This window comes from Homo sapiens, chromosome 20, assembly GCF_000001405.40.
Source record: "Homo sapiens chromosome 20, GRCh38.p14 Primary Assembly".
NCBI classification, from domain to species: Eukaryota; Metazoa; Chordata; class Mammalia; order Primates; family Hominidae; genus Homo; species Homo sapiens.
In genome coordinates, this window is record NC_000020.11 from 49,935,955 (window position 1) to 49,954,087 (window position 18,133).

An 18,133-nucleotide genomic window follows, 5' to 3' on the forward strand; every position below is an offset into this window, starting at 1 on the left:
TGCCTGTGGTCCAGCTACGCAGGAGGCTGAGGTGGGAGGATCGCTTGAACCCCGGTGGTCGAGGCTGCAGGGAGCCATGATCGCGCGCGCCACTGAACACCAGCCTGGGCGACAAAGCAAGACCTTGTCCCAAAATAGATTAAATAAATAAATAAATAAATTTAAGGAAAAAGCAACTTGATTCGAAGATAAATAGTGATAGTGCAAGTGGTGCCGAACTAACGATAAATTTGGAAAACAGCGGCCCACGCGCAGAGCCCGTCCCAATTCTGGCAGCCTTTGGATTTGGCTTCCACGTTTTCCAGATTTCCCTCGGCCTCTAGCTCGCTTGCGTCAGAGGGGCCCCGAGGGGCGGCCCACCCGCTAGCCCCGCCCCCAACCGCTCACCGCCCCGCGAGCCCCGCCCCCTCGGCCTCCTCCTCATCGGCCGCCGTTGCGCGGCGCAGAGCGGCAGCAAGATGGCGGCGCAACAGCGGGACTGCGGGGGTGCTGCGCAGCTGGCGGGGCCGGCGGCGGAGGCTGACCCCCTAGGACGCTTCACGTGTCCCGTGTGCTTAGAGGTGTACGAGAAGCCGGTACAGGTGCCCTGCGGACACGTGTAAGCGGCGAGCCCGGGCCTGGTCGGGGGGCGCTTAACTGGGAAGGGAATGGAGCCGAGGAGCGAGATGGGTCTCAGGGCGGGAGCCAGAGGACCCACCCAGAGGGGCCTCCCGGGGGTGTCCCCCGGGGCTCCTAAGGGCCGTGAAAGCTGCCGGGGCGCTCTTCTGTCCCGCCCCGCTCACTCCTAAGTATCCCGTTCCTCCGCCCGTCTTAGCGGGGCAGCTGCTGTCTGTTGAGCGCCTGCGATGTTCCAGGCGGCCTGTCAGTCTCCTTCCCACACGTGATAGTGGACTCGTGCCCTGCGGGGACTTTAGGCTCCGAAGTCCGCCCTTGGAGAGCCGACGTTTCCTTTCTAGTCCACGTCGCTCTTAAAGCATAGGACATTTGGCGTCGTGTCTAGCTGTGGCGAGTTATTCTACTGTGCACTAAAGTCGGGAGAAACGCTGAACTAGACTAAAACAACAAAAGGGAAGTCTTTATGGGGATCTGGCCAGTTTGCCCTTAGCTGTGAAAGGGGGGTGGGAGTTGGCAGATGGGATTGTTAGCATTCTACTTCCTGTGTAGGAGGTTTGTTTCTTTCAGTTTTCAATTAAGCCTTCATGACCTGAATATTGTGAATAGAGTGGTTATAATGATTAAAGCAGATATGTGTATAAATGTCCAGTCCAGGTCCTGGGCTGTGGCCGGGGCTTTCGAGGTTGGTCAGGTTGGTCGATTTGAATCTAAGCCTTGTTCCATCAGACGCACAAACACATCTGAGTTGAAAGAATTGTAGACAACGTGGCCACCTGCTTCTTGCCTCAGAATTGGCTTTTCCTCTGGCCCCTCTCAGTGCTTATCGTGGGATCACCTTGGCATTGGTCTTGGCAGCGGGCACAGTAGCCATTGCACTCCATGGGCATTATTCTATAGCCACCCTGCAGCGGGGGAGGGTTGGCAGCCATTTTACAGGTGAATACACTGAGGGTCCGAGGCTCTCTTAGGGAAGGGTCACCGTGGCCTAGCTCTTCCCAGATGTACTGCAGGTGACCATTTCAGTAGTCCAGAGAACAGTGCTTGGCACCTAGCTGGCTGCTTTTTGCTTCATCATGTTGCTTTAGGCTATTCATCTTTGCAATTCGGTTAGCCTGGAACTCTTCCCCCCACCCCTCCCTTTTCAGGCTTCAAGTCCCAGGTTAAGTTACCTCACCAAATACCATCCCCATCTAAATTACTTCCCCCACTTCCTTTCTGGGACTTAACTTCCTTCTCCTTGCTTGCACAGAGCAAAACTTAACAGCTCATGACGGAGTGGCCATATCTTTATTGCCCCTGAACTGACTGGAATGGCCTCTGTGTGCCAGATTTTGGGGTAGACTCTGCCTTCAGAGTTTACAGTCCAGTGAATTGATTATAAATAAGTACCAATGACTGGTCAAACTATTGTAAAAATTCATTCTGCAAGTGGGAGGGTATTTCAGGGATCACACCTCTGTGCGTGGGGTGAGTGATCAGGTAATGGTTGAATGAACTAATAAGTCGTGTAAGCAAGCTTCACGAGAGTTGAAGTGGTCTTTAGCTTTTTCATTGAATCCACTTATCCTTGGATCAGATTTACCTGATTTTGGATTAATTCAGTGGATTTCATTTACTATTAACATTTGTAAAAAGGCTAGACCCAGCACAGTTTGCTAAATGAAGAGCAGCAAAATTTGAGATTTTCTTGAGCTTGGTGAACCTTTCCTAGGTCAGAGGGCAAGGAACAGTACTGGTTTTCAAACCTTGGCTCTTCTCTATCCTCGCTGTCCTAGCCCCACGTGATCAGCAGTTCAGTGCAAATTGAAGACAGATGGAAGCACCTCTGTGAGGGCAGCCCAAATCCCCGCTAGCTCCAACCGACTGCTTTCTCCTGTGCCTAGTTGATTTTTACCTTTTGTGCTTGGAAAGTTGAGCATCACTGCAACTCTGGCTGGGGCATTGGATTTTTATAAAACTTTATTTCAAGCCCTGAATGACTGTGTTCTCCAATCTGGTAGAATACAGCTGGAGAAAGGCAGCTGGCTGGGTGCCCAAGAGAAGGGAATTTCTTCCTAGCACTGTGACGGAGTGGAGCATCGGAAGGCTGAACTAGAAAAGGGCGCATAAGTAGGAAATAGAAACTGAAAAGCCATCCCAGGATATTTGAGTTGTTCAAAAGCAGGCTGGTAGTTTGGGCATGTCTCAGGCACAAAGTGACTCGTGAACATTTGATAGATGAGCTGTACCTGTGTGTGTGCTTGAGAAGAGACTTCGAGCTGCTTTTATCTGCATGCTGGGTTTGGTTCCATTATACTCACTGGACCCTCTGTGCTCTCTTGGGTTCCTCTTGTCATCTGCCTTTGTGAACAGGCAACACAAGTGATGGCCACAGGCCCTGCCTGTCTCTACTGCCTCATCACTTGCCCTTCTCACCATGGTCTACCGCATCATGGCCCCCAAGGTCTGCCTGCCTTCCTTTCCAGTCCTCATTTGTGTGTGGCGTGATCTTGGTGTGGAGCTCTGCACCCAGATCTGTGTGGCTGTCCTCGTAATCAGGTCCCACCCAGCTCAAATGCCAACTCCTCAGAAGCAGCTTTCTATGATCACCCCAGCTGGTCTGTTTGCCATATTTCCTTCATATTTTTAATCACTATCTGAAATTAACATTTGTGTTTCCCTTCACTCTAGAATGTAAGCATCATGAGAACAGGGCTTTGTCAAGTTTCCATTGCCCTCAGTGGTGAATGAATAGACTCCCTCACCTTCTCTGTACCTGGTCTGGAATTTTGCCTAACAGCATTAACATCTAACTTAATGACAAGGAGGAAGGAGATTCTTAGAGGCAGTAGAAAATGGTCAAGTGTTCAGAAGATGGCCTTTCATTATATATCTTTAGTTCTTTCTGGCAGATTTGGTTATACTGTCTTAATCTATCAGGTTGGGTAAGTAGCCCAGGGTGTCTTCTCCATTCTTTCTGTATGCCTTATCTCAGCATTACCATCTTCCTAGGCTTCAGGATAGGAACTCGGTCATCTTTGACTTCTTTTCTTCAAAGTCAGTAAGTTATCAAGTCCTCCTGATTCTACCTTTCTGTGAATGGTTTCCTGAATTCATCCCCTGCTGCTTCAGTCAGACCCTCACAATCCTCTGCCTTTAGCCATCTGTTTGGTTTCTACTTTGTCTCTTCTCACCTTCTCACCTAAAAAAAAAAAAAACTATAGGGCTGGGCTCAGTGGCTCACACCTGTAATCCCAGCACTTTGGGAGGCCAAGACGGGTGGATCACCAGAGGTCAGGAGTTCGAGACCAGCCTGGCTAACGTGGTGAAACCCCGTCTCTACTAAAAATATAAAATTAGCTGGGTGTGGTCATGCGCGCCTGTAACCCCAGCCACTTGGGAGTCTGAAGCAGGAGAATCGCTTGGACCGGGGAGGCAGATTTTGCAGTGAGCCGAGATTGCACCATTGCACTTCAGCCTGGGCAACAGAGCACGACTCTGTCTCAAAAAAAAAAAAAAAAAAAAAAGTAACAAAACTTTGTTTTCCATGATAGCACAGAGATATTTTTCTGAAACCTGGATTTGGCCTTGTTTTGTTAATACCTTCCTTTTAAACTCCTGGCTCCCTACTGTTTATGAGGAAAAGTCTGTTAGATTTTTATTTCCTCAGATACATATCAATTTTAAGCCTAAATTAGGCCTAGAATAGTCTTCCCTTCCTCTGCTAGCTGACCTCTTTTTTTAAAATGCCAGAGGGGTAATGGGCCAACATCTGTAACAAGGTTCGAGGGTGGCACATCTCACACATGCACATGAACACCCAGTCCTCAGGTTCATGAACTACAAAAGGATCCATCTGAACCCTTTTTTTTTTTTTTTTGAGACGGAGTCTCGCTCTGTCTCCCAGGCTGGATGGAGTGCAGTGGCGCGATCTTGGCTCACTGCAAGCTCTGCGTCCTGGGTTCATGCCATTCTCCTGCCTAAGCCTCCCGAGTAGCTGGGACTACAGGCACCCGCCACCACTCCCAGCTAATTTTTGTATTTTTAGTAGAGACGGGGTTTCACTGTGTTAGCCAGGATGGTCTCGATCTCCTGACCTTGTGATCTGCCCGCCTCGGCCTCCCAAAGTGCTGGGATTACAGGCATGAGCCACCGCGCCTGGCTGAGCTGAACCCTTTTAAGGCTGATCAGAGATGCCGTCTCTGCAGTCTTCCCCTCCACCCCCCCCTTGAGACAGAGTCGCACTCTGTTGCCCAGGCTGGAGTGTGCAGCCACCTCTGCCTCCCAGGTTCAAGCAATTCTCCTGCCTCAGCCTCCCGAGTAGCTGGGATTACAGGCATCTGCCACCATGCCTGGCTAATTTTGGTATTTTTAGTAGAGACGGGTTTCACCATGTTGGTAAGGCTGGTCTCAAACTCCTGACCTCGTGATCTGCCTGCCTTGGCCTCCCAAAGTGCTGGGATTACGGGCGTGAGCCACCGCTCCCAGCCTTCACTGCAGTCTTACCAGCCCTTTCCTTCTCAGGTCACTAGTTGATTTTCCCTTTATGTTCCTGTAGCGCTTTGCCTTCACCTGTAATGATAGCAGCTCCCGTTTGTGGTGCGTTTTGTAAGGGCTGGACACTCTGCCAGGGGTCTGCTATACAAACTGTATCCTCCCAGCAGTCCTAGAGGTAGGTACTACTCTCTCCATTTCACAAAGGAAAAAATGGAGATTCAAGAAACCCCACTGAGATCCTTCAGTGGCAGGGCCTAAGGCTTGAAGCCTCAACCTTAACACCTTCACTGTGTCTATCACAGGAGTTTGCATTTGTTTCTGTAGTTGTGTGTTCTTTGTAGTCCACTCCTATCCCTCATTTTTTCTGGCTTGGAAGGACTTAGTATTTGAACTGGGAGGAGAGAGCAAGTTGTTTTTTACTCCATTATCCATTGATGTCTTTTTAAAAGTTGATCCATATTTGTCGTCTTGTCTCCATGATGCGTGACAGAGGTTCTCTGTATGTCTTGTTCTAGCTTTTGCTCTGCATGCCTGCAGGAATGTCTGAAGCCGAAGAAGCCTGTCTGTGGGGTGTGTCGCAGCGCTCTGGCACCTGGCGTCCGAGCCGTGGAGCTCGAGCGGCAGATCGAGAGCACAGAGACTTCTTGCCATGGCTGCCGTAAGAATGTATGTGGAAGTGATGTGGAAGAGTCCATGTCTTTCCATGATAAGTTGGGGTAAAACGTACAGCTGCCATGTTGTTGCTGAAGTTAGAGCATGACTAGGTCACTAACAGCACGCGTGCATGCCAATTACCTGTGGTGATGGCTGGGCTGGTTTGTTTTCATAACCTTACTGGTTTTTGTTTCTTTTTTTAAGAGTTGGTTAAGTATATATTTTAGGTTTGAAAGCCATAGAAATCAGTTATCCCAGTTTTTTCCTATAAAAGATCAATTATGGCCAGGCGCGGTGGCTCATTCCTGTAACCCCAGCTCTTTGGGAGTCCGAGGCAAGAGCTTGAGGCTAGGAGTTAAGAGACCAGCCTGGACAACATAGTGAGACCTCATCTTTACAAAAAAATAAAATTAGCCGGGTGTGGTGGTATGTACCTGTAGGCCCAGCTACTCAGGAGGCAGAGGCCAGAGGATCACTTGAGCCCAGGAGTTTGGGATTACAGTGATCTATGATCATGCCACTGCACTCCAGCCTGGCTGACAGCAAGACCCTGTCTCTTAAAAAAAAGTCAATATGAAATCATTGGATTGTAATAACAATAGCTAACATTTGAAATGCATCCATGCTCTTGTATAATCAGAGTCAAGTATATTTATTTTCATACCTGTTATAACTGCTACTGGAAAGGAGAAATACTGTTGTCTTATTTTCCAAGAGATATACACAGCCTTGTTGATTTTAGAATCATTAAAATTTTTAAAATTGCAGACCATACAAAAGTACACAATAATGTAGGCTTGTTCCTCATTCCAGAGATTACTTCAAAATTCGTTCAACTTAAGGCCTGGCAAGGTGGTTCATGCCTGTAATCCCAACACTTTGGGAGGCCAAGGTGGGTGGATTGCTTGAGTCCAGGAGTTCTAGACCAGCCTGGACAACATGGTGAAACCTCGGCTCTACTGAAAATACAAAAAACTAGCAGGGCATGGTGGTGTGTGCCCGTAGTCTCAACTGTTCGGGAGGCTGAGGTGAGAGGATGGCTTGAGCCCAGGAGGCAGAGGTTGCAGTGAGCTGAGTTCGTGCCACTGCACTCCATCCTGGGTGATAGAGCCGGACCCTGTCTCAAGGAAAAAAAAAGTGATTTAATTTCGAAAGCTGCATAACATTTTCTGCCCTTTGACAAACACTGTAGAATTTTTACCAACCAAGTTGTAGGATTTTTGCAAAATGAGATTATACTATAATATATATATTTCTTCAACTTTTTTCACTTTTTTAAATGTACACTCATTCCCAACTTTTTTTTTCCACTTTTCAGGTTTTTTTTCTCTTACATATTGGACAGCCTTGCATGTCAGTTTCATTATTTTTAACACTTCGGTATGGATGCCCATAGTAAGAATATACCTTACCATCTCCTTTTCAGCGTGATTTAGTATTAGGGATGCATAGTAGGGCCATTTCAATGCTGAATAGGGCTATTTTCTGTGTCTTAATTGGGGGCTTCACTCTTGAGGCTGGGCATGGTGGCTCATGCCTATATCCTATCATTTGGAGAGGCCAAGGCAAGAGGATCACTGACCCCAGGAGTTCGAAATCAGCCTGGGCAACATAGTGGGACTCTGTATATACCAAAACAAACCAACAAACAAAACCAGCTGTGTGTAGTGGTGTATGCATGTAGTCCCAGCTCCTTGGGAGGCTGAGGTGGGAAGATTGCTTGAGCCCAGAAGTTTGAGAGCAGCCTGGGGAATATAGTGGACCCAGTTTCTACAAAAAAAGGAAAAAAAAATTGAGGATTCCTCAGTTTGTAGCTTAAAGTCAAGTTCTTGAGCTGGAGGTGAGACAATCATCATGGTAAGCTGGAGCTCAAATATTGGAGCATTTTTTTCCCCCTTTGAAGTTTACTTTTAGAAACTCAAAATATTGAAATACAATTCCCTACTGTCTTCTTTTTTTTTTTTTTTTTTTTTTTTTGAGACGGAGTCTCACTCTGTTGCCCAGGCTGGAGTACAGTGGCGTGATCTCAGCTCACTGCAGGCTCCGCCTGTTGGGTTCACGCCATTCTCCTGCCTCAGCCTCCTGAGTAGCTGGGACTACAGGTGCCCATCACCACGCCCAGCTATATATATATACACACACACACACACACACACACATACATACACACAGAGATATATATATATATATATATATATATTTGTATTTTTAGTAGAGACAGGGTTTCACTGTGTTAGCCAGGATGGTCTCGATCTCCTGACCTCGTGACCCGCCCGCCTCAGCCTCCCAAAATGCTGGGATTATAGGCATGAGCCATTGCACCCGGTCTCTTCATCTTTATTTATGCATGCATAATGTGGTTTTTGGTTTTGTTTTGTTTTTTTTCTGAGACAGGGTCTGGCTTTGTTGCCCGGGCTGGAGTGCAATTGCGTGGTCTCAGCTCACTGAAACCTCTGCCTCCCAGGCTCAAACCATCCTCCCACCTCAGCCTCTCAAGTAGCTGGGACTACAGGCATGTGTCACCACGCCTGCCTAATTTTTTTGTATTTTCAGTAGAGACGAGTTTTGCATGTTGCCCATGCTGATCTCGAACTCGGGAGCGTGAAGTGATGGCCCACCTCAGCCTCCCTCAGGATTACAGGTGTGAGCCACCGTACTCCGCCCATGATGGGCTTTTTGTTTGTTTTACTGTATGCTTTTGCTTTTCTCCATTTTCAAGATTAGTGATTGTACTGTTGGCATGCCTCAGAAAATGTTTTTCTTTCCTTTATCTTCCCTCTTTTCTTCAATTCTTAAAACTTTCTTTCTTTTTAGAAAACCTGTAATGAAGCACTATTCTCTGGGTTTTCTTCTCTTTCTGTTTTACTGTTGCACAGCCTAGATTTTATATGAAAGGCTGGGCCGGGCGTGGTAGCTCACGCCTGTAAACCCAGCACTTTGGCAGGCTGAGGCAGGCAGATCACTTGAGGTCAGGAGTTCGAGACCAGCCTGGCTAACGTGGTGAAACTCCATCTCTACTAAAAATATGAAAATTAGCTGGGCCTGATGGCACACACCTGTAATCCCAGCTACTCAGGAGGCTGAGGTGGGAGAATCACTTGAACCCGGGAGGCGGAGGTTGCAGTGAGCCGAGATGGTGCCACTGCACTTCAGTCTGGGCGACAGAGTGAGTGAGACTCTGTCTCAAAAAAAAAAAAAAAGAGAATTTAGATTTTAAAGATTATTTCTCAGAGGCTGGTGATAGATACTTTAACCAGGGTTAGTGGCTTTTATATGTTTTACCTAAAGGATCACTTTTCTCTGCTGCACATAACAGAATGTGGTTTTTGGCTTGCTGTAAGGAGACTAGTTTAAATGCTAGTATAGAAAACTTTTAAAAACATCCTAGATTTGGAGCTTGTCTGTGAGCAGACAGCCTATCATGAATAGGAGCAAACCTCTAGGAGAGTTATTTTAGAGTGGAAGTGGATATCCTGATTTAGTCGAATAAAATAGCAGCCTTGGTATTAATGGGAAATCTGCAATAATCAGGGTTTCAGCCCCATCAGCGTAGTCAGGAGTTTGGTGAGATTATTTGCCAGGGTGGTGTAGGTCTAGTTTTCTTTGTGCCCTTGTTTGGGACTATATTTTGCCTGTTGCAAGGTCCTCACTAACTTATGGGCTCTGATTCTTCCTATTTGAGTTCTTCCTGTCCAAGATCCGGTCCCACGTGGCTACTTGTTCCAAATACCAGAATTACATCATGGAAGGTGTGAAGGCCACCATTAAGGATGCATCTCTTCAGCCAAGGTAAATGACTCAGTCTCCCCTTAGGTGGAGGTCATCTCTTGCTATTAATACAAAGAGGTTGCATGCCCAGGGGTTTAGTTGTATGAATTGTTATGCTGGCTAAAGCTGATACAAGTATTTTGGGAGGAGTATGCAAGGGAGGACTCTGGTGTTCACTTCAGATGTTAGCTGAGCTATATTCTTTTTTTCTTTTTTGAGACAGAGTCTCGCTCTGTTGCCCAGGCTGGTGTGCAGTGGTGCAATCTCAGCTCACTGCAACCTCTGCCTCCCGGGTTCAAGCGATTCTCCTGCCTCAACCTCCCAAGTAGCTGGGATTACAGGCACCTGCCACCATGCCTGGCTAAATTTTGTATTTTTTAGTAGAGACAGGGTTTGTCATGTTGGTCAGGCTGGTCTTGAACTCCTGATCTCAGGTGATCCGCCTGCTTTGGCCTCCCAAAGTGCTGCGATTACAGGCGTAAACCACCACGCCCGGCCAGCTGAGCTGTTATTTTCACAACACTTGACCTGAGTCTGAAGTGATCATCAGCATCCTTATCATTACACATTTGGTGAGCTTTGCTCCTTTTTGGAGTGTACTGTGGTTGAAGTTTAATGGAAAGGTACTCACAGAAAAGTTTTCTTTTTTCCTGTGTTTCACCTTCCAGGAATGTTCCAAACCGTTACACCTTTCCTTGTCCTTACTGTCCTGAGAAGAACTTTGATCAGGAAGGACTTGTGGAACACTGCAAATTATTCCATAGCACGGATACCAAATCTGTGGTGAGTAACCTTTTTTTTTTTTTTTAAACTTCATTAAGGGAAAGGATCAAGCTTGGAGAAAAATGACGGGATTAGTAGAATGAACTCCTGTGTGCCCTTCACCTAGATTGACAGATTGTTAACATTTTACCATATTTGCTTAACCATGCTCTATAGTACACATTTTTTGCTGACCACTTGGGAATAAGCTACAGATACCATGACCATTTTTGCACCCTGAATACTTCGCACCCTGATACAGGAGTGTGTATGTCTTAAGAACAAGAATGTTTTCTTGGAAAATTATATTTTTGTGTGTATAATTAATCATATTCAAGAAATTTAACATTGATTCAATCTAATGTCTAATGTGAAATTCATGTTTTAATTTTAACAATTGTAATGTCTTTCATAGCAATTTCCCCCTCCCCCCAAGGCAGAGGCAGGGATGGTACACGAGTTCTCTGTCCTCTGGGTGCTACATTAAGTCATGTGATGTCTGTTGTTGGTAACATTAACTTGGTTCCCTTGGTGTCCACCAAATTTCTCCATGAAGCTGCCATTTTATTTTTGGAAGTAGCTTCTTCATAGTTGTGGGGAAAGAGGATTTAGGTGAAATTATTAGGAAAAGGCTTATCAATCCTTGGACATTTTACTCAGATATTACCTACTGGCATGTGTAGTCTCCTTTAAAAAAAAAAAAATGTAGGCTGGGCACGGTGGCTCACACCTGTAATCCCAGCACTTTGGGAGGCCAAGGCGGGTGGATCAGTTGAGGTCAGGAGTTCAAGATCAGCCTGGCTAACATGGTGAAACCCCATCTCTACTAAAAATACAAAAATTAGCCAGGCATGGTGGCGGGCGCCTTTAATCCCAGCTACTTGGGAGGCTGAGGCATGAGAATTGCTTGAACCTGGGAGGCAGAAGTTGCAGTGAACTGAGATCCTGCCACTGCACTCTAGTCTGGGCAGCAGAACAAAACTGCCCCCCCCCCCCCCCCCCCCCCCAAAAAAGTATTTGTTCCATCTTAGCAATGTGTTACCTTTCTCTCTCAATGTGATTGACAGACCAGGTCTTTTTTTATAGTTAGGTGTATACTTCCTCTATAGTTTTAATTTTTCCATTTATCTCATACTGCTTCTCTTGAACTACATACTCTGTTGTATGGGCAGCCTTCAGCTCCATTGCTGTAAACAGTGGTGCAGAAATTTTAGAATTTTAATGAGCTTTTGTGAGAGTACTAGGGCAGCTATCAATGCTCATCTTAAGATGGAACTGGCCATTTTGAGAAACATATCTTTGCCTGTATCTATGTATGTTTATAAGCTAAAGTCTTAGATACAGATTGACTTGGTTAAATGTTACTTGCACTCATAATTTTGTTGGATACTGTTATTGCTGAACTTTTCTGGTATGGCAGCCTAATTTTCTGTCTTTTTCCCCTCCTTTGGCTTCTGAAATCCCTCTGATTATGTTGTCTATGTTGAGGCCTTCTCTTCAGCCTTTGGCCCTCTGTTCTGTCTTCCTCTCCCTCTGCAAGTTTTTTTTTTTTTTTTTTTTTTTTTTTTTTTTTTTTTTTTGAGGCGGAGTTTCGCTCTGTCGCCCAGGCTGGAGTGCAGTGGCGCGATCTCGACTCACTGCAAGCTCCGCCTCCCGGGTTCACGCCATTCTCCTGCCTCAGCCTCCCGTGTAGCTGGGACTACAGGTGCGCGCCACCATGCCCGGCTAATTTTTGTATTTATGGTAGAGACGGGGTTTCACCGTGTTAGCCAGGATGGTCTCGATCTCCTGACCTCGTGATCCGCCCGTCTCGGCCTCCCAAAGTGCTGGGATTACAGGCGTGAGCCACCGCGCCCGGCCCTCTGCAAGTTCTTAACTCTGCGTTTCTCCCTTCCCTTTAGAAGCCATCTCCTTTTCAGTCTCTAGTCCCACCCTATGTTCTAGCTCCCCAGCTACAGCTGCCTGCCCACCTTTTCCACTCAGTCTTCTACCATTCCAGATTTCTCTCTTGTCAATCCCCTTTATCACTGTATCTTCCTTGCTGTGGGGTAGGGTTCCACCTTTAAGTGGGGGCACTTAGGTCTTCTCTCTCCCTGGCATGAGTTTTCTGCACTCACTGGTCTGGTTGTTTACATGTGTTGACAGTAACTGCCGCCTTCTGGCCTTTTCTCCGTGCTGCTGCCTCTCTTCTGGAGCACAATTTTTTTTTTTTTTTTTTTAAGACAGAGTCTCACTCTGTCACCCAGGCTGGAGGCTGGAGTGCAGTGGCACAATCTTGGCTCACTGCAACCTCCACTTCCAGGGTTCAAGCGATTCTCATGCCTCAGCCTCTCAGGTAGCTGGGACTACAGGCGTGTGCCACCATGCAAGGCTAATTTTTGTATTTTTAGTAGAGAAGATGTTTCACTATGTTGGCCAGGCTGGTCTCAAACTCCTGACCTCAGGTGATCTACCGCTTTGGCCTCCCAAAGTGCTGGGATTACAAGTGTGAGCCACTGTGCCCGGCCTGGAGCACTCTTTCATGTCCTCTTTGCCTTTCCAAATACTTCCCAATCTTCAAAAACCAAATCAACCTTTTGTGTGAGGGCTTTTCAGCCTGATCCCCCTCTTCTGAGCATTTCCTTTGTTAAGATGCATGTAAGGCTGTGTTTTACTTCCCTGGGACATTGCTCATCGGCTTATTTTCTTAGTTTTCCTCATGCTTTTGGATTGTCTTGTGTGCTGGATTGGAAGGCCAGTCTAGGCCCCCCACCAGGCTGACTCACTTCTCTGCTTACAGTAGGGAATGAGAAAGGGTGGTATCATGATTTGAACTTTACCCAGTCCCACGTGTCATTTGACTTGAGCTGGAAATTTGCAGTGTTTTTTTGGGCTGCTGATGTGCACAGGAAGGAGTTACTGGCCCTGGACAGTATGTCAGGAAAGCTGTCCTGGAAGAAAGGAGGCCAGACACAGGCCACAGAGGGCTGGTGCAAGCTTGGAAATTGGGTGCCTAAGACCTTGCTTTTGTGTTGAAAGGTTTGTCCGATATGTGCCTCGATGCCCTGGGGAGACCCCAACTACCGCAGCGCCAACTTCAGAGAGCACATCCAGCGCCGGCACCGGTTTTCTTATGACACTTTTGTGGTAAGTCTGGAGCCTGGGCTCTGATCCCTCCCCTGGGGGAGTGGCACGGCTACTTCACTCTTCTCAAAAGGGGAAATGGGGATCCCCAGTGTTGAACTTTGTCGCTGTTGTGATGGGCTTCCAGTCTGTATACTGGATACAGTGATAAAGGGGATTGACAAGAGAGAAAAGAAGACTGAGTGGAAGAGGCGGGCAGGCAGCTGTAGCTGGGGAGCTAGATGGGCTTCCAGTCTGTATACTGTAGCTACTATACAGTTTCTATTCATGGGCCAGGCAGGTGGCCAGAGTGACATTTATTTACTTACATGAGATGGAGTCTTGCTCTGTCGCCCAGGCTGGAATGCAGTGGCGTGATCTCAGCTCACTGCAGCCTCCACCTCCCGGGTTCAAGTGATTCTCCTGCCTCAGCCTCCTGAGTAGCTGGGACTACAGGCGCATGCCACCATGCCCCATTACTTTTTGTACTTTCAGTAGAGACAGGCTTTCACTATGTTGGCCAGGCTGGTCTCGAACTCCTGACCTCGTGATCTGCCCACCTTGGCCTCCCAAAGTGTTGGGATTACAGGCGTGAGCCACCACGCCCGGCCCAGAGTGACATTTAAGAAGATGATCTGGGCTGGGCGCAGTGGCTCACACCTGTAATCCCAGCACTTTGGGAGGCCGAGGTGGGCGGATCCTGAGGTCGGGGGTTCGAGACCAGCCTAGCCAACATAGTGAAATCCCGTCTTTACTAAAAATACAAAAAAATTAGCCAGGTGTGGTGGTGGGCACCTGTAATCCTAGCTACTTGGGAGGCTGAGGCAGGAGAATCGCTTGAACCTGGGAGGCAAGGTTGCAGTGAGCCAATATCGTGCCACTGCACTCCAGCCTGGGCAACAGAGCAAGACTGTCTCAAAACAAACAAGAAGATGATCTGGTCAGTCTTTGAGACAGAGACAGTGATACTTGCTCTTTCCATCTCCTAGCCCTGCCACCAAATTTTTGTCTACTTTTCTTGTGGTTTATATAATTTCTGCCTGTTATAGAACTTGGTTTGGGGACAGGTGCGGTGCAGTGGTTCATACCTACAATCCTAGCATTTTTGGGAGGCTGAGGCAGGTGGATCGCTTGAGCTCAGGAGTTCGAGACCAGCCTGGGCAACATGGGAAAACCTTGTCTCTGCAAAAAATACAAAAAGTAACCAGGTGTGGTGGCTCCTACCTGTAGTCCTAGCTACTTTGAGGGAGCTGGGACAGGAGGATCTCTTGAGCCCAAGAGACGGAGGTTGCAGCAAGCTGAGATCATGCCACTGCACTCCAGCCTGGGCAACAGAATGAGACCCTGTCTCAAAAAAAAAAAAAAAAAACAAAACACACACACACAACAACAATTTGGACTTGGGAGGCTCAATCTCGCATGTCCATGGGGACCATAATTGAAATGATCCTCCTGAGGATTTCCAAGCCAGGTGGTGCCTGACTCGTTATGCTGCCATCACCTTGTTTTCCTATGGAAATGCAGGCGCAGCATTGCCTAGCTTCTCCACCCCCCATGCCCAAGCAGGACAGGAAAATTTCACAGGAGGTTTCACAGGTTTTAATTATCTTCAAAAATACTTCAGGTCAAATAGCATATATCCACTAGCCAAATACGGCTGTCAGGTTTATATTCTTTCCCTAGAGCTGGATGGTTTCAAAGGGGCACACTGTTGTCTTGCCATTATAGTAGTAGGTAACTTTGGCCAACTATATCAAGTAAACCTCTTACTTACATATATAGATGTCAAGTTAGGATTTTAGAGTGGTATTCGGTCTTGATGGCTGAATTTCAGTATCTAAGAAAGAAAGCTCTCTGCTAAATTGTCATAAAGAATATTTTTTCTCAGTCTGACAGTGTCTGAAACTCAGACTTCAGAATAACTGCCCTTTTTGTTAATGTGACACAGATGAATTACATTCATCTGTGTCACATTAACAAAAATGACTCATTAAAAATGAGTCCTAAAAATGACTCATTAAAGAGGGCTAGTTGCGCTATAGTTTCTGCTGTATTGTATGGCTCTAAAAATCTGATTCTGTACTGTGCACTGATTCCACCTCTCAGAAACAACTCTTCAGCTCAGTGCATCTGCGTGCTCTGTTCCGACAGACTTACAAATGTTCTGAGCACTTGGTCTGTGCCAGCCTCCATTCGTGTGCTGTCTGGGTTTCTCAATCTCCATTTAAGGGAGGCATCCTTAACTTCATTTAAGAATCAGGCAGCAGACTGGGTGCAGTGGCTCATGCCTGTAATCTCAGCACTTTGGGAGGCCAAGGCGGGTGGATCACGAGGTCAAGAGATTGAGACCATCCTGGCCAACATGGTGAAACCCTGTCTCTACTAAAAACATAAAAATTAGCTGGGCATGGTGGCGCACGCCTGTTAGTCCCAGCTACTCGGGAGGCTGAGGCAGGAGAATCACTTGAACCTGGGAGGCAGAGGTTGCAGTGAGCCAAGACTGTGCCACTGCACTCCAGCCTGGCAACAGAGCGAGACTCCATCAAATAAAAAAAAAGAGAAGGCAGCAGAGACAGATTAATTTTCCCAAAGTTACATACCTAGCATCACAAACAGTTGCACTGGGGATCCGGTCCCTGGCAACCTGCTCCGGATCCAGTTGCTAGGCTGTCCTGCTTCTACTGAAAGCCAGTCTTTGCATCTAGAAACAGTTGCTGAGGCTGCATGTCTCTTTTTGCCCTTAGGATTATGATGTTGATGAAGAGGACATGATGAATCAGGTGTTGCAGCGCTCCATCATCGACCAGTGAGCAGAGTCCGTGCTTGCTATCTGTCTCATGTTACAGAGCTTCCATTACATATTAAACGTGAAATCTATGACTCCTGTACCTTACCTGTTCAACAGACCTGAAAATGAGCCATGGCATTGGGACAGGGTCACTTCTGACAGGGGAAGTGGGTCCCCAGGTCAGCCCTTCTCTTCCCTTTGGGCTCTTGCCAAAGCTGTCTTCCCCTACTGTTAACCTTGTTTGTCACACGGTCGAGTTCGTATTGGTTCTCGGCTACTTCCTGGAGCTTCTGCCGCCTCCTGTGGAAGATAATCTAGCTTCTCCACCTCTTGTTTCACACTCATTCCTCCCATCCAGTGTTTGTCTCTCGGGTCCTTCAAGCCAGCCAGGACCTTTTCTGGGTCATGAATAGCACAATGAAGCAAGTGTCTCCTTTCCTTGTCCCCAAGGTGTGCAGACTTTGGCAGCCGTGCACCTGACCAGAGCTGAAGCTCCCGCTGGGCTGTGGGGTTGCCAGAAGCTGGGGTTGCCATCCCGGGGTACATGTCACCAGTCCTCTTGGGGTTTTGTACCATCTGATGCTGGAAGTTTTGATTAGTGATATTTTCTACTACTACATATTTAGAGTTCACTGGTTCAGTCTTAAATGCCTGCATGGTGCCTTTTTAGGATAAGGTATAACCATACATTTTTGGTGGAAGTGTTTCTGGGTTAGGGAAGTTAAAGTCTGTTTATCCGTAAGTGGGGAGGAGGGTCAGCTAAGAGAAGTGGGAGGGCCAGAGCTTTTTGGTTCTGATTTACAAATTAATGAAGTAGTTTCAAACAACGCGGTCATGTTTACCTCTCCATTTGGGAGCCTGCCTACATTCTTGTTCTAGAAGCACAAAAAATCCTCAGATGAATTAGAAGAAAGAGGTTTGGGGACTCAGCGGATACTAGTTCTTTTACCTTCTGCTTGGTAACTTAGATTAAACTGAGCATTGTTTTTCTGTCACAAATGTTTTCCTTATGACACTGGTTTCGACATGTAAAATGTGTTTGAAAACCTGCTTTGTAGATGCAGAGAGAAGCTATAGGAAACCCAGTACCACCCCTGGTCTGTTCTGACGAGACATCGTTCATAAGGCACAGCACATCGCAAGATGAACAGTTGTTAATAAAAGCTGTTGCTGGAAACTTGCTTTAGGAACAGCTCAAGAACCTTGGAGTTCATATTTCACAAATATTAATAAATATAAGTCCAAGAGCTGTCAGCCTAATCTGTAGGAGCAGAACCTCTGATTGACCAAAAGGCATATGGGTTTAGGTTGGTTTTTTGATGTCATATGTCTCTGATGGGGCTGCAAGTGCTACCTCGCGCTTGTACACTGCTGCTGTGGGGCTCCGCGCCTGCCGGTGAAGAGCTGCAGATGCCGAGAAGCCAGCAAACACAGGGCCCACTGGAAAAAAATAGTTTTTTCATTAGTATTTCTCGGGAGGACCCAAAAGTTAAGGTCAGCTTGTTCACTGTAATTTCTGGAAGAAGTTCACTCAGACCTTCCTGAATTCAGATCATCTCAGAAGTCTGGAGGGAAATCTGGCGAAACCTTCGTTTGAGGGACTGATGTGAGTGTATGTCCACCTCACTGGTGGCACCGAGAAACTTACTTCCTTGTATTAAGTGCACTTCTTGTATTTCTAATAAGATGACTTTCCAGAAAGTGAGATTTGTTATGTTCTGGCTTTTAAAAGGTAAAATATAAATAAATTTCATAACTTAATCTAAGTGGTAAGCTATGGTTCTTGTTTTCATTCAACACATTTGCCATAGCATGGGCTTGGGGAGTCTCCAGAAGATGGTTACCCTTTCTAGAAGGGAAGTTCTTGCTTGTTGCTGAGTCCTGTTTGGCGTCAAATCTCAGCTGATGCCACCAGCTGGGCCTCATGGTGCCTGTCCTCTGGAAAAAGAACACTTGTTACAGTTGGGA

At 46.8% G+C, this 18,133-nt stretch overlaps 1 protein-coding gene and 1 non-coding gene across 2 annotated transcripts, besides 6 other annotated features; one reads left to right on the forward strand and one right to left on the reverse strand.

The window, feature by feature from the left end:
* Window positions 92-697: an enhancer, noted in NCBI's record as "H3K27ac-H3K4me1 hESC enhancer chr20:48552583-48553188 (GRCh37/hg19 assembly coordinates)". NCBI's record gives its function as "activates a minimal SCP1, AML or CMV promoter by ChIP-STARR-seq in primed H9 embryonic stem cells {active_cell/tissue: H9 hESC(primed)}" and the evidence as "EXISTENCE:reporter gene assay evidence [ECO:0000049][PMID:30033119]".
* Window positions 290-479: a silencer, noted in NCBI's record as "silent region_13008". NCBI's record gives its function as "represses an Ori minimal core promoter by ATAC-STARR-seq in GM12878 lymphoblastoid cells {active_cell/tissue: GM12878}" and the evidence as "EXISTENCE:reporter gene assay evidence [ECO:0000049][PMID:35858748]".
* Window positions 443-17,931, forward strand: RNF114 (ring finger protein 114). The gene is made up of 6 exons (NM_018683.4): window positions 443-598; window positions 5,607-5,757; window positions 9,428-9,534; window positions 10,182-10,296; window positions 13,294-13,401; window positions 16,122-17,931. Exons 1-6 carry the CDS (start codon window positions 459-461, stop codon window positions 16,185-16,187), a joined length of 687 nt encoding a protein of 228 aa, NP_061153.1. The 5' UTR covers window positions 443-458; the 3' UTR covers window positions 16,188-17,931.
* Window positions 938-1,232: a silencer, noted in NCBI's record as "tiled region #103; K562 Repressive non-DNase unmatched - State 2:TssF". NCBI's record gives its function as "represses a minimal TATA promoter and a strong SV40 promoter by Sharpr-MPRA in K562 cells {active_cell/tissue: K562}" and the evidence as "EXISTENCE:reporter gene assay evidence [ECO:0000049][PMID:27701403]".
* Window positions 1,518-1,812: a silencer, noted in NCBI's record as "tiled region #7979; K562 Repressive non-DNase unmatched - State 1:Tss". NCBI's record gives its function as "represses a minimal TATA promoter and a strong SV40 promoter by Sharpr-MPRA in K562 cells {active_cell/tissue: K562}" and the evidence as "EXISTENCE:reporter gene assay evidence [ECO:0000049][PMID:27701403]".
* Window positions 3,438-3,732: a silencer, noted in NCBI's record as "tiled region #5689; HepG2 Repressive non-DNase unmatched - State 14:Gen5'". NCBI's record gives its function as "represses a minimal TATA promoter and a strong SV40 promoter by Sharpr-MPRA in HepG2 cells {active_cell/tissue: HepG2}" and the evidence as "EXISTENCE:reporter gene assay evidence [ECO:0000049][PMID:27701403]".
* Window positions 4,342-4,446, reverse strand: LOC124904976 (small nucleolar RNA U13). Its single transcript, XR_007067768.1, has one exon. It is a non-coding gene; the product is annotated as a small nucleolar RNA U13 (small nucleolar RNA).
* Window positions 6,811-6,980: an enhancer, noted in NCBI's record as "experimental_60738 CRE fragment used in MPRA reporter constructs". NCBI's record gives its function as "activates a minimal promoter by MPRAs in K562 erythroleukemia cells, with activity observed for both the introgressed and non-introgressed 20:48559387 variant alleles {active_cell/tissue: K562}" and the evidence as "EXISTENCE:reporter gene assay evidence [ECO:0000049][PMID:34662402]".
* Window positions 17,932-18,133: the final 202 nt, after the last annotated feature.

Excerpts from the sequence above, each read along its gene's own strand:
- RNF114 (NM_018683.4), top strand. The coding sequence starts at position 459 with ATGGCGGCGCAACAGCGGGACTGCGGGGGTGCTGCGCAGCTGGCGGGG. Across the intron at positions 5,758-9,427 it reads GCCATGGCTGCCGTAAGAAT|TTCTTCCTGTCCAAGATCCG; the intron begins GTATGTGGAAGT and ends TTCCTATTTGAG. Across the intron at positions 9,535-10,181 it reads GATGCATCTCTTCAGCCAAG|GAATGTTCCAAACCGTTACA; the intron begins GTAAATGACTCA and ends TTCACCTTCCAG.